Raw genomic sequence first — 14,563 nt, 5'->3', positions numbered from 1 at the left:
TAAGAAGTCGACTTGATTAAATTCTTATAGCTTCCTTGCTCATTCTATTTCCTTTGCACTGTATCATAAACAATAAGATGATTTTACTTCAAGGGAACGGAAGAGTTTTTGTTCAAATTATATCTCAGTCATTCACATAAATATCAGCTGTGACACATTTCTTATATCTTCAGAGGTATGAACAAATACTATGCAGACTTGATTTGCTTGGCCGCGTGTTGCTGAACCATTGTAGTAGGGAGAGGAACAAAGATGGAGAAGAGCTGATTTTATGAAGGAACCAAAGAAGGAAAAATTGTTGCCGTTAACGTTGTTTACTGAAATTCATCAGCTTTTACTTTATTCATTCAAGATTTATTAAGTGCCTTTTGTAGACTGGGATAGAGCTTAGCAAGAGAAATGATTGATTAAATAGACCATTATAATAAAATGGAGTCATGCCTGTATTAGGACAAGTACTGTGTACAAAGGGAATAGATAACAGGGACATTGATCTAAAGGGAGGTTAGGGAGGACTTCTTGGAGGAAGTGGTATTTGTGCCTGAGTTATATGGGATGTGTGGGATTTCTTAGGTGAAAGAGGGCAGAGCAATACGGTGGTAGGCTAGATCTGTGCAGCGGCTTAGAGACAAGACTGTACAGGGTGTGTATGTGAGTGTCTGTCCGTGGTAGAATGGTGGTTCCAGAGCCGCAAAAAAAGTGCAAGCAGAGGACCAAGCAGCGGCTAACATCCAGCACAGCCTTTTGAATACCTCTAGATGCTTCCCCTTGGCCTTCCGGGCCTTAGAAAGCTAAGAAATTGTTCAGCTGGGATGGGATGTGCGTGGGTAAGCATGCAACGTTAAGCATCCATGTCAATGTTGAGATGCGTCCTAATGTCAAAAATATTAAGGTGTGACTGGGGAAGCTGTCTGGGAATTGATGGAACGTTGTACATTCACATTTTGCAAGATGAGTTTGTCTTCCCCGTGGGTAGGTTTGAGGAGAGCAAAACCAAAGGCAGGAAAGAGCCTTCACAAGGGAATTGCAGAGTCGTGGGAGGCACCCTTGTGTGGGCCGGCAAGTGTTGGTCAGGGTGAAGGAAAGAGAATGGAGTGGATGTCATTGTTGGATGTGGTGGAGGAGTCAAATGTGCCTCCAGAGTGTTTGGCCCCATTGGCTAGGCGTGTGGTGGTAGCATTCACTGAGGGAAGGCCCAAGGAAGAAGAACCAGATTGGCGGAGAAGAGGGTGCTGAAGAAGGTTGTAGATCATGGAGAGCCAATGTTACAGGCAGACTGCTTGGAAATGGGAACTGTTTGAGAAGAAGGGAGGGTGCACTCTGCCAAATGCAGCCTATGGATCAAACAAAAGGGACTGAAAACTTAATGACTTTGGCAACAGAGGTTTCAGTGGCATGGTGTGGGCTGCAGGATGTTTAGAAGATGAATAAGTGGAGACAGGGAGTATAGCAGCTCTTTACAGAAGTTTTTGAAAGGGAGGAGAGAGTAGGGGGCTATGAGACTGTGAAAAGAATTTTTGTTTCATCACTGAACAGAGATTATAAAGTCACACCAGAATCTTTCTTTTCAGTTTAATTTAAATCTTTTTTTAAATTTCAGAACTATGAATTCTGAATTCATAGTTAGCATAGTAGTTAGTAGCAACTTAGAGGCTTTGGGAATTTAGCATAGAAGTTTCTAGAAGCAGGCAAATGAAAGCACACAGCAGGCTCGATCATATATTTATGACAGAAATCTTTAAGGAGAAGACCCCCAAACAGCAACAAAAATAACCCTTATTGTGGTGGTATGGGGGCTTTTGGTGTAAAGAGAGTCAACCCCACACAGCTCAAAAAGCTCTGAGGCCATTGTGGGTGTAAGGTGTGCAATGGTTATTTGAAAATGTGTGTGTTTGACAAAGATTTCTATCAAAAAAAAGTTGTGGCAGTAAAGCGGTCAAGTGGTTTTCTAGAAAACTTCAGTTAATGGCAAAATCACGACTTCCAGTACAACTATAGGGAACAGAGTCACTTTGAAATGTTTCTGCCCTCTTTGGGGTACCCTGTAATTCTATTCTGTTTATGAATGTCCTCCTCATCCTTGAATTTGTGTGTGCTTTCCTAATGGAACACATCTTTACGCTCAGTAACCATGTTAATTTATGGTGTATTTTGGTATTCCAAGAAGTGAAAAATGGGGAGTTAATACGACTTCTCTTTGTTTTACTCTGAAGAGGTTTTTACTACCAGGACCTTGACATCTTCCACCTTAGTTTATCTTTAAGTTATCTTTAACTGGAACCATTTTGTCCATTAGCTCTATTCTAATCACCTCTCAGAATAGTCAGATTTACAAGCAACACATGACAGAGAAAACAAAAAAATCAGCCAGCTTCTCCTGACATTCAACAGCAGCCCACGTCTAAATAGTGAAAAAGTTTATTTGCTTTTTCTGAAGATGTGCTAAGTGATTTTGCAGTTAGAGTGGTACGGCCTTCTAGCACTTAGGCCTGCATTTATTAAATAAATGTGTTCTCTAACTCAAGTGTTAAGTGTGTATTATGAAACCTCAAAGCCAATTTCGGTGATTGCAATGTGCAAATATTTTTAAAATTATGTAATTAAATAGGACTTGGCCTGCAAGGTCCACCAAAGTAATTTATTAATTGAATAGTCTGATTTAATTGTATGTTATTTTCGTTTATTCAGGGAAGTGCCTGCATCTCTTGCAGAGATAGGAGCCTCTTGTATGCCTGTCACTGGAGGTACAGAGGTCCTCTCCAAGAAATCTTTAGCACCCAATTAAATATTAACCAAGAAGAGGGGACTTGTTCCTTCTGTCCCTGAAACTCTATTTTCATGCCTGAGTCTGGCGATTTTAAAGGAAAAAGAAGGAAAAAAAAAAAAAAAAACCTTGCTGGGTAGAATTATTTGTAATTCATTTTGTTTATCACTACATTTTTTAAAAATGACTTACTCTTCTTAATTGTACCAGTGTACAGGGTTATATAAAGTGTGTGTATAAAAAGAAAAGCCCCTTTAATTCAGTGTTAGCTACATCTAACTATGGCTAAAGCCACGCCGTATCTGTTTCCTTAAAATGTCATTTTAAAGGTATTGTGGTTTTGGAGCAGCAGCTGTGACTGAAAAGTATGTAAACTAAGCTGTTCTTGCTCATATCATTTTTATATTCTTATGTCAGACCAGAAGGCTGCTTTAAATTTATTTTTCATTGTGTATTAGTTCTAGAGCCTGGTTTTTTTTCTTCCTCAGGAACATATGTTCTTTGGGACGTGTTATACTCAGACACTTAAGAAAATAACAATTGTGTGGGGGGGACAGGTACCAAAATAGTTTCTTATTTGAGTATTGTATTTGGGGGAAGATTAATTAAAAAAAAAATTAACTCTCACAAAGTAGAATTTTGGGGCCTAGCATCTGTGTTTTAGGAAATGAAAGAATTCAGGCATACTGTACTAAGTCACGTGAAAGGCAGTAACTTTTAGAAGCCCAAATTGCTTTCCCAAAAGGAAAATATTTTTTGTTGCTATTAAATATAGTTTATATTGCTACTTCAGACCTTTTTTTTTTCCAGTGGGGCCATTTACTTAAATTCTTAGTTAATATTTCTGTATAGAAACGTCTTTGTCTCCAGAGCCCGCCTGTGCGAATTCCCATTTAATATGCGGTTGTGGATAAGTATTTATTCATTCCATGTGGTACTCCACACCTGATCAAGTGACAGCGTGGCGTCATGTCAGCCAGCAAAATGTTTGAGTGACTTTTGAGTAATGGTGGCATAGAAGGTAGAGGGGGTTGAAGGAAATAATAATGGGAATTTTTTTCCTTTCCTATATATTTTAGCATGTATAATGCTTCAACTCTCTGGTGGAAATTTGGAACACAGGATAGTAAAATATTCCTTTTCCTAGAGGGTAGTAAAAGTGGAGTAGAAAGTAGGAGCTGTTAGAATTTCCATGATAAATATAATTTGATTACATATGTTGGGGTGGGTTCCCTCTGAGCTGAGGATTTTACTTTGAGAGTTGTTTCACAATGGTATATTTCTTTCCAGTTTTCAGAAGCAAATTTAGCCTTAAGAATTTGCCCTGGCCAGGCGCAGTGGCTCATGCTTGAAATCCCAGCACTTTGGGAGGCTGAGGTGGGCGGATCACGAGGTTAGGAAATAGAGACCATCCTGGTTAACATGGTAAAACCCCGTTTCTACTAAAATACAAAAAATTAGCTGGGCATGGTGGCAGGCGCCTGTAGTCCCAGCTACTCAGGAGGCTGGGATAGGAGAATCACTTGAACCTGGGAGGCGAAGGTTGCCGTGAGCTGAGATCGCACCACTGCGCTCCAGCCTGGCGACAGAGCAAGACTCCATCTCAAAAAAAAAAAAAAAAGAATATGCCCTAAGAAGATTCTGTTGACTTGCCTCATTTGTACAGGCCTACATCCGGGTGCCCCAAGTGAGGGAAGTAATTTGGGGAGGAAGGCAGCTCTGTGGTGGATCCACTGTTGTGCTTGTTCCAGCCCCTCTGTCTCTTGCCGGGCCCCACGTGGGACCCGGGTAGTGGCATTCTCTAGGGCATTAGCTGGCCCTGGTGGTCCTTGCATCTAGCCTTGGAAAGGGACCTATCAGAGCATCTGGGGTGATGGTTAGAATAGTTCACAGGTACAGCACAGCTGTGGTCATCCCGATGGCCACTAGCTCTAGCCCTGGAGCAGGGCTCTGGGAAACCCTCACCATGCCGTGGAGGAGGCAGGAAAGTCCAAGGTTCTGGTCAAGGGTGTGTTCAGGAGGCTTGGGGGCAAGGGCTGTTTCCCAGCGAGTACACAAGTATTTCAGCATTTTAGCACTTTGTTCAGGCGACCCGTCTGTAGCAATTAAACACCATCCCTGAGTACCCCACCTTGTACCAGTGACGAGCCTGGATCTGCAGAAGAGAAGGGGCTTCCCAAATCCTAGATGAGATACCGGTGGGTCCAGGAGCAGAGCCGCCCTCTCTTGCCTCCTAATGAAATGATCTCTCCACTTCACTTTGCTGCCTCTTAACGGAAGTGTGGAAATGTCTCCTTTTCCACTTACTTCAAACCAGAGTTGGTTAAAAGAATTTTCCTATGAACAAAACTAAGAGGCAAATAGAAGATACCTGGGGCCTGGAAGTGAAGGACTTCATAGGAGAAAGTAAAGCTTGTTCAAGTCCAGCTTCAGATGCAATGGGCTGGCACAGTCTGTGGGACATTCATGACTTCTCCTTCTGTTCTCTGGCCTCTTTGCTGTTCACAGGATCCTCCTCTTAAATCTCCTCTTAACATGACTGATGTTCCCAGGGGCCATATTCTGTAGCCATTGCTTTTCTCTATGAATTGGGAGTCACAGGCTTGAGTTCCTGCTTTCGTCCCCACCACCTGTGTGACCTTGGTCACACAGAGTCCCCTCCCAGAGGAGTGGCTTGCCTGGACCTCTCAGAGGCACATTTTAGCTCTAAGATATTTGCTGTTCTCTCTCATTCAAGATTTTCCCCATCCATGCCTTATTCCTTCCACTTAGTAGTCTGGGTCACGCAACTGAGGCAGAAAAAAAGTCTGAATTTTGATGAAGAGATTGTCACAGTTTATCCCAAATCTGTTCTCAGGGGACATCCTTGTCTTTTTTTTTATTGGCAAAACTTGGTCAGGGAATTTCTGCTTAAATGAACCTACCGCTTCCCATTTTGAATCAGGTTTGTGCTTGCTATCATTATTAATAGGAGTATTAATTTCTGTTGCTGATAAAGCGCCCTGGTGTGGCTGGAAAGTGGTTCTGTGCCTTTTCCCCACCCAAGTGAAGAAGGACATGAAAGGTTGTACGGTGTGGAAAGTGCCTTAGCAATTAAATAAAAGGCTGGTTCATATAAAGGGGCTTGTTTCTATATGGAAAATATGAGCTTTTTCTTTTCTTTTTCTTTCTTTCTTTTTTTTTTTTTTTTTTTTTTTTTTTTACATGGACCAGGTGTGGATTAGTTCACTGAACCTTTTACCCAGCCTTATCCCAGCCTTATTCCCGCTTGTAATTCTTCTGAGGCACAGTTCAGCCAAGTCAAAGAAACATGTTATTAAAGGTGAGCTGAAAGGCATTTAAAAAATAAACAAACTGTTTAAGATCCTAAATCAGTAACAGAATCTATATGCACAGACTTGAAAAGTACAAGAAAATGTGTTTCAATGCCTTTTGGTTCCAGGCTGGATTCTCCTCTTTCCTTCTTTGAACATCTCCCCAAAGTCTTTTTTGGTAGTTGGTGGGACAGGCAGCCCCAAGGCTAACTTTGGCTTGTAGCTTTTTTGTAACTAATGACTTGCCTCCACTGAGGTAGGTGAGACCCCAATCTTATACCTACAATTCTCCAACTACTATTGAGGGGAAAAAATAAGTACTTTGATTTTATTTTAGCACTATGTTCTTAAGAAGTTTAAAATCTGATATACATTCTCTTTTATTTTTCCAGCCTGTAGCATGGCAGACAGCCAGATATATATATATATATATATATTTTTTAGACGGAGTCTTACTCTGTCACCAGGCTGGAGTGCAGTGTCATTATCTCGGCTCACTGCAATCTCCACCTCCCGGGTTCAAGTGATTCTCCTGTCTCAGCCTCCCGAGTAGCTGGGATTACAGGCTCCCGCCACCACACCCAGCTAATTTTTGTACTTTTAGTAGAGATGGGTTTCACCATGATGGCCAGGATGGTCTCAATCTCCTGACCTTGAGATCCGCCCACCTCAGCCTCCTAAAGTTCTGGGATTACAGGCATGTGCCACCATGCCTGGCCAGCCAGCTATTTTTAAGAACTTGTAGAGATGGTAGAAATGAGGTGTAGGATGTTTTAGATTTATTTAAGTTATATCATCCCTGATCGTAATAACGGCAGCCATCATTTCTTTGAGCATTCACTTTGTGCCATACACTATTCTAAGTACTTATGACATGTCAATGCATTTATTCTACAAAAGCAAATAATGCACTGTAATGAAGCCCATTTTATGGATGAGAACACTGAGGGACAGAGAGCTTAGGCAATTTGCCTAAGCTCACAAGGTCAGTCAGCACCAGAGCTAATAAGAACTTGGGCACTTGAATCCATGCTTGTAAATTCTGAACTATTCTAGTCTAAAGTATACTGTATAGTACTATATTCTGTAATACTTAGTTTTAGGTGAGGCAGCCCAAGGATGCATTAAGAAATACAGATACTCGACCGGGCACGGTGGCTCATGCCTGTAATCCCAGCACTTTGGGAGGCCGAGGTGGGCGGATCACGAGGTCAGGAGATCGAGACCATCCTGGCTAACACGGTGAAACCCCGTCTCTACTAAAAATACAAAAAATTAGCCGGGCATGGTGGCTGGTGCCTGTAGTCCCAGCTAATCGGGAGGCTGAGGCAGGAGAATGGCGGGAACCCGGGAGGCGGAGCTTGCAGTGAGCAGAGATAGCGCCACTGCACTCCAGCCTGGGCGAGAGTGCGAGACTGTCTCAAAAAAAAAAAGAAAAAGAAATGCAGATACTCGATCTGTACAACCTCAGCCTTGCCTTTATAAAAATTCTTTCCTAACTTTCAAAACTTGTTTGTTTTTGTTGTTTTTGATAGCCTGTTTTCAGCCAATGAATAGGTAGATAACAATCACTTGCAGCCTGTTGTACTGCTTTTTAAATAATTAGCTTGGCCGGGCGCAGTGGCTCACGCCTGTAATCCCAGCACTTTGGGAGGCAGAGGCGGACGGATCATGAGGTCAGGAGATCGAGACCATCCTGGCTAACACAGTGAAACCCCGTCTCTACTAAAAATACCAAAAATTAGCTGGGCGTGGTGGCGGGCGCCTGTATTCCTAGCTACTCGGGAGGCTGAGGCAGGAGAATGGCATGAATCCGGGAGGCGGAGCTTGCAGTGAGCCGAGATTGCGCCACTGCACTCCAGTGTGGGTGGCACAGCGAGACTCCATCTCAAAAAAAAAAAAAAAAAAAAGAATTAAAGTTTCATTGTGATTGTGCAATTGTACAAAGACATTCCCTTATTTTATTTTATTATTTTTGAGACAGGGTTTCACTCTGTCACCCAGGCTGGAGTGCAGTGGCACGATCTCAGCTCACTGCAACCTCTTCCTGCCTGGTTCAAACAATTCTTCCACCTCAGCCTCCTGAGTACCTGGGACTACAGGCAAGCACCACCATGCCCAGCTAATTTTTTTTTGTATTTTTTGGTAGAGATAAGGTTTCACCGTGTTGGCCAGGCTGGCCTCGAACTCCTGACCTCAAGTGTGATCACCTGCCTTGGCCTCCCAGAGTGCTGGATTTACAGGTATGAGCCACCGTGCCTGGCCTATTCCCCCATTATTAAACAGTGTCTCACTTTATTGCCCAGGCTATTGTGCGGCAGCACCATGCTAGCTCACTGCAGCCTTGAATTCCTGGGCTCAAGCAATCGTCCTGCCTCACCCTCCTTAATAGCTGGCATTGCAGGTGTGAGCCACTGAGCCTAGCTTATTCTCTCATTTTTAAAGTAATTTCAAATAGCAGAAGCAGGGAAGGAGAGGCATTTTAGGAGTTCATCTTTCTGGTCCACCTTTAATGAAGTAAGCAGCTCCTTCCAAGGGGAGCTTGAAGCCTGAATTCTTCGTAGTGAACACAGTACTCTTTTCAGAAACTTATACTTAGCTTAAAAAAATTATCTATACCTCCACCCTGCTGCCTTATATGATAGAAAAGGAGATGAGTTCAGCAACAGCTTCCTCTAGCACACTTGATTACCTTTCTTTCGCTGAAGTCCAGATGCTGAGCTTGTTGAACTCATCTGCCTTGTTCAGCCGTTCTTGTTTTAGGAGTGTTAACGTTCTTTTTGGGAAAGAAGCAGCATATGCGTACACCCTTGCCAGGCTTCCATTAAGTGTCCCTTCACCTTTAGCAAGCCCTTGGTGGACTCAGGGGAGCTTTATAGTTATTATTAACATAACAGCCTGTAAGTTGGGCTTCTTTCTAGTGAAGGAGCCAAGAGGGAGGGCCCCGCCTGGTTTTAAATTACGTAGGCTTTTCTAAATGTGTTTCTAATGGGAGCTAGAGAGGTGGTGAGCTTTGGGGAAGCCTCGCCTTGGGTCATAGTTGAGTGTAGAAGGGAGCTGGGATCTGCAGATATCAGGGAATTTAGGAAGAGAGGCATGGGAAAGGAAATGGGATGGAAAGGTGCCAGGAAAAGTTGCCTCATCATTTCCCACTTTGGTGGTGGCCAAAAGGTAAGTTTCTACTTTGAGATCACTCTCAGGCCCTGTGGGCACAGAGCTGCCAAGTTTCTCAGTTTAAGGACTAATAAAGTTGGGATGTGGGTAATTCTGGGAGACTGGGTAGTTTGAAGGGAAGGATTGTTGGAGGTCTTTCCAGCTATACTGACAATGTACATGGGTTCATTCTTGAGATGAGCGTGTCCATAATAAAATCTAGCTGTAGAGCCATTCAAGGACTTCTCTGTGTGCACGAGCATGCTAGCCATTTTACGTACAACAGTAGGAACAGAGTAGCTGGAGTAAGATACAGGAATGTTTTTGTTCCACTCATACACTGATTAGTGTTATTCACTCATTCTGTATTTACTGAACACCTACCCTGCGTAGCCACTGCTCTGTACTGGGATACAGCAAGCAAGAGGCCTGCACACTGGCTCATGCCTGTAATCCCAGCACTTTGGGAGGCAAAGGCAGGATGATCACTTGAACCCAGGAATTCGACACCAGCCTGGGCAACATAGTGAGACCTTGTCCCTACAAAAAATTGAAAAAACTAGTGAGGCATGGTGGCACGTGCCTCTAGACCCAGCTACTCAGGAGGCTGAGGTGGGAGAACCGCTTGAGTCTAGTAGTTAGTTCCAGGCTGCAGTGAGTCATGATCGTGCCACTGCACTGCACTCCAGCTTGGGCAACAGAGTGAGACCATGTCTCAAAAACAAAAAACAAACAAACAAAAAAAAGTGGGAGGGGGATGCAAATCAGATAAAATCCCTGCCTTCATGGAGTATATGTTCTGATATTTTTGTCATAAACTGAAATTAATACGACTTATCTGTTGCCTAAACTTTTTGCCCAGAACAACCAAACAGAATCAGTTCAGCTGCAGTGGGAACCGCCAAGAGCCAGATGTGGCCATGAGAGGAATATCTTTGAGAGCCTGTCATCTGGCTCCAGCTGTGTTAACCTAGGCCTGGTAGGCAGCCATGAGTTGTGTCTGCCAACTGGTGGCCAGACACTAGTGCAGGCTTAAACAATTAGCAGAATTCCTCATCCGGTGGCTGGATTCACTGTGTGTGTCCTACAGACGATCGCTGCTGTCCAAACCAGGGGACTCTGGGCAGAAACGCCCAGAAGAGAACCAAAAGTTAGCCCCTTGAGAAACCAGTCAAAGTCTCATCCCGGAACATGGAGAGGGAGGCAGGAATCGGGGAAGACCAGCAACAGTGAGAAAACAGAAGTAAACCAGACGTGGCCCTCTGCCTGGCAGACCTTAATTCTGACTGAGAACTCTTGCCTGATAGAGAACGTCTGCCTCCAGCATGCCCCTGCAGAAAAGCAAAGAGTAGAGTTTGCCTGTGAAGAAATTTTTTTTCAGTTATTTTTTACATTGTTGCCCTTTGGTGAGAATCATTTATGATGCTTTATTGGTTTTACCCAAACTGAGATTTCCATGAAAAGTATTCATTCCCACCTTTTGGAAGCAATTAGATCCCCACAAACAGGCTATAACTTTCAAATGTCTGTTATATCTGCCTTCAAAAATAAGTATATAAGTAAATAAAATGCTTCAGCCTGCCTGCATGTGGAAGATTTTTTATAAACTGTAGAGTTGCTGGTTTCATGTACCAGGCAAGTCCTGCTAGCACACGGGAAAATAATAGATTCTGATCATCCATTGTCCAGCATGTTTCTAATACCACAGTAGTTGCTCAGTAAATGTTTGTAGACTGAGCTGAATAAGGAAAAATTCCAGTGAATGTGCTGACTTGCAAGAATGGTAATTAAAAATTAGTGCAGTCATTTCAAATCATAAGTTGGGGAAACAACCCACCATTTAGTGCCCCCCAAAAGTAAAAGTTCTAATTGGAATAAGCTTAGGATTTTTTTTTATGTCCACATCTAAAGTCTGATGATAACAGAAAGCACAAGATGGCAGAGATTAAGGTTTTCAGGGAGACTTCTCTTGAGGCTGAACAGATATGTCCATGTGAGAACATTTTTATCATGGTGAGGTTCTTGGTGGTCTTTCAAAGAAGTCCCACTCTGAACAGATAACGACAACAAAATCATTGAAGTGGGGAAAATTCAAAAGATGCTAGTTTGTGTGTCAAAATCAACTTTTGCATTCTAACTGCATTGTGTAAATTTGCTGTGCAGGAAACATAAGTGAAGCCATTTGGTTTTGTGGCATTGGTGTGGGTTGGCTCAGGGGGTGGGGATAAGGTTGAGGCATTGATATAGTAAGAGGAGAGCCAGATGGTTGTATTACACATCTTTTGTGTTCTTGTTTGCTTCTTAAAGCAGTTGCAGAATTTTGCCCTTGGCGATATTTTCTTCGTGCCTGTGTGTTCTGCTATGAATTTACTTTTGTCAGAGTACTTTGAAAGAAAAGCCTTGCTCAGAAAAAAAAAAAAAATTACGTTATAAACTTGTGAAGTCAACAGTGTGTTCATAAAAATATTTTTTAAATGTTAAGTATGTTAGTAAATAGTTGAGAGAATCAGCTTTTCTTTTTTCTTAGCGCAGTGATTTCGACCATATTTTATATTAATTCAGGGAAAGAATTTTTGCAAAATTATGAATGTGCAATTGGTGATGGATGGATGGATCGAGATGGATAGATGAGGAGACAGACACATGGAACAGATACATTGTTATTCCAGTAAGGATGAGGCCTATCTGATTAGAGATTTAACTTTTTCCATTACTTACAGCAAGCCCTCAGGTTGTGGTTAACCTCTTGTGTTTTATCAGCAAGCGTAACTTGGTAGTAAGTTGAGTGAGAGTGGGTTAGGGTAGGTTGGTGAGTTTTCGTTGACATTTGGTAGAATTGCTGTTACACCACCATTGAAATTTATATTTATTCCCTACTAAAAGGAAATTCTATTTTGCAGTCACCAGTGGCAAGGGATATTTAAGATGTTCTAATGCATGTAAGGGGTGATATTTTATCACCGAATGCTTTTAATAAAGAGTTGCTTTGGAGCTGTCCCCCCTCACCCACACACACACACACACACACACACACACACACACACACACACACACACACACACACATTGTGGTAGAATGCTTCATAATAATTTAATGTCCTTTTTACAGTTCCAGTTTATTTTTTTTTCCTTTGCTCAAATCAGAGAAGAGCAAATATGTAGGATCCTTGGGCGACAGTTTATTCTCCTGTTGTGCACAGATTTCCAGTTTTAGTTGGAACCTGCAGTCCCTGATGAGAAAACAGGAAACTTACAGTCCTAACCTTATTGAAATCTCTGCCGGGTTTAGTCACAAGTCTGAGGCGACTCCTTCCAATAATGAAGCCATTGTACGCATCGTATCTGATCAGTTCTTGAAATGTTTTAGTAGGTCTATCTTACAACATTATAAGAAGATAATCAGCAGCCTTAGAAGGTCCCCATCTGGACTGTAGAGTTCTTTTACTGAAAGATGTTTTGCCTTTTTGAGATAGCTCTCGCGTTTCATCATCTGTTCCGCCGAGATGAAGTGCATATGAAAAGTCAGTGACTCTGAATCCATCTGTTGTTATTATTTTCCACTGATAATTGGCTTGAACAATGAAATGTCTGTGTCTGCAGCCTTTGAAACTGTACACCCTGTTTATTTTCTGGAGGTCTCACTGCAACTACGCCCCCCCATCTTTCCCCCTGCATTTTCTCTCAAGCTTACAGCGAGTGGCGCTTGTGTGAGGATGACATCTTTGACTCTGTGCATCAGTATGTGTCACTCAGCATCTAAAGCTTGCATACGGATTTTTGTCACAATCCCTGTGTCTGTGCCATTCGCTCCCGAATCCGGCGCTCTTTCAGCAAGGAGCTTAGCTGGGCCGCAATGCATGGATCCCTTACCTGGATTGTCGTCTTTATTTCACTGTCCTCATTAAAATATTAATTTAGGGTACAGTATCTAATACCTATGGAATTAGATACTACCTATAATTGTATAATATATTCAGTTGCATCCAGGTTTGCATGATACAGAGCATTAATATTGGATTCCACTAACATCACTTCCATTAGCTTGCTCAACCAGTATGAGATATAGATGAGCTGGGAAGCATAACTACCCTCAAAACTGCCAAAACATTCATTAGAAGCTCCATGGGGATGGACAGAAGCTTTCTCACAGTGATATACTGATTAAATTTTGTTTTGTGGTTTATTTGCAGCAAGGTTAGATCACTATTGTCTATGGACCTGGGTTATCTAACACCTTATTTGGAAGGTCATTTCAAGGCAAAAGGGTGGACAAAATCAGCGTCTTCAGTTTCTGTGGGCACCCCGCTTAGAGAACCTGTGTTTTATTCTCTGGGTCTTTGGGTATCTTTTTATTTTGTTTGCCTTTTCTCCATGTTATGCCATAATAATGTTTGAAATGAGTTTTGGGTTTGTTGGTTTGTTTGTGAAAATATTTTAAAACTTTTCAGTGATCTTCACCTTTTACAGTAGAATGATTTGGCCAGAAAACAGTTTTGTGTTAATAAATTAAAATTGCTTTTGAAATAGAAAGCTGCCCTATTTCCCTTGGCTAGGATAATCACAGCATTCTCGAAGGCTGTGAAGGATCTGTGACCTATCCTTTTTAGTCCAAATACAGTAATAATATGGACACATCCTATAGCACAGCCCTGCTGGATTTGGCCACAGAGTTCTGTAGGGCATTAGTAAGTAGTAGACGAACATAATCTTATTTATGTTTCAATCAAAATCATTTAATACTGCAAAAGTTATTAAAAAATAATTAAGTTACTAAGACCAACATGTAGCTGGAACATAGAATAAGAGGTCAGTGTGAGTTGATTCCATAAGCTGAGAAAAGTCAGTAGTGAATTCCTAACACTGGCATGTTTTTCCTCTTGCTTAAATTCCTGGGTTGTAAGGACAAATTATGTTGAGGTATGGCATATTTTCTGCCGAAATGGAGAAAATTGTTGACTGTAATTATGTTATTTAATTGAAATTATAAGTGGTTGAGGCCACTCAGTTAAAAGCATCTTTTCTAATATGGGGGTAATGTTTTTAAATGAGTGGTCATGGATTGGTGACATTTGAAAGGCAGGCATTTGGGATATATTTTTGGAAAACTCGAATTATTTTCCTTAAATGATTAGTGAACTAGAGAATATAGTTAAGTAGCGTTTTTTTTTTTTTTTTTTTTTTTTTGGCTTATTCTCTTTAACTAGATATGCTTGAATGTATTATGTGTGAGTATATATGCACATATATATATGTGTGTGTATATATTTTTATATGTACACTTTATATGCATATATCAAACAGATCTTTGTAGGTACAGAGTCACAAGTATCAAC

General features: G+C 41.7%; 1 protein-coding gene across 10 annotated transcripts in view; it reads left to right on the top strand.

Moving 5' to 3' along the window:
* Positions 1 to 14,563, top strand: part of FOXP1 (forkhead box P1) — a 629,271-nt gene that overhangs the window by 262,933 nt on the left and 351,775 nt on the right. The gene's annotated exons all lie outside the window — the stretch shown is intronic.

This window comes from Homo sapiens, chromosome 3, assembly GCF_000001405.40.
Source record: "Homo sapiens chromosome 3, GRCh38.p14 Primary Assembly".
Taxonomy (NCBI): Eukaryota; Metazoa; Chordata; class Mammalia; order Primates; family Hominidae; genus Homo; species Homo sapiens.
Note: the sequence above shows the minus strand (reverse complement) of the source record. Positions and strands in the feature narration are given on the sequence as shown.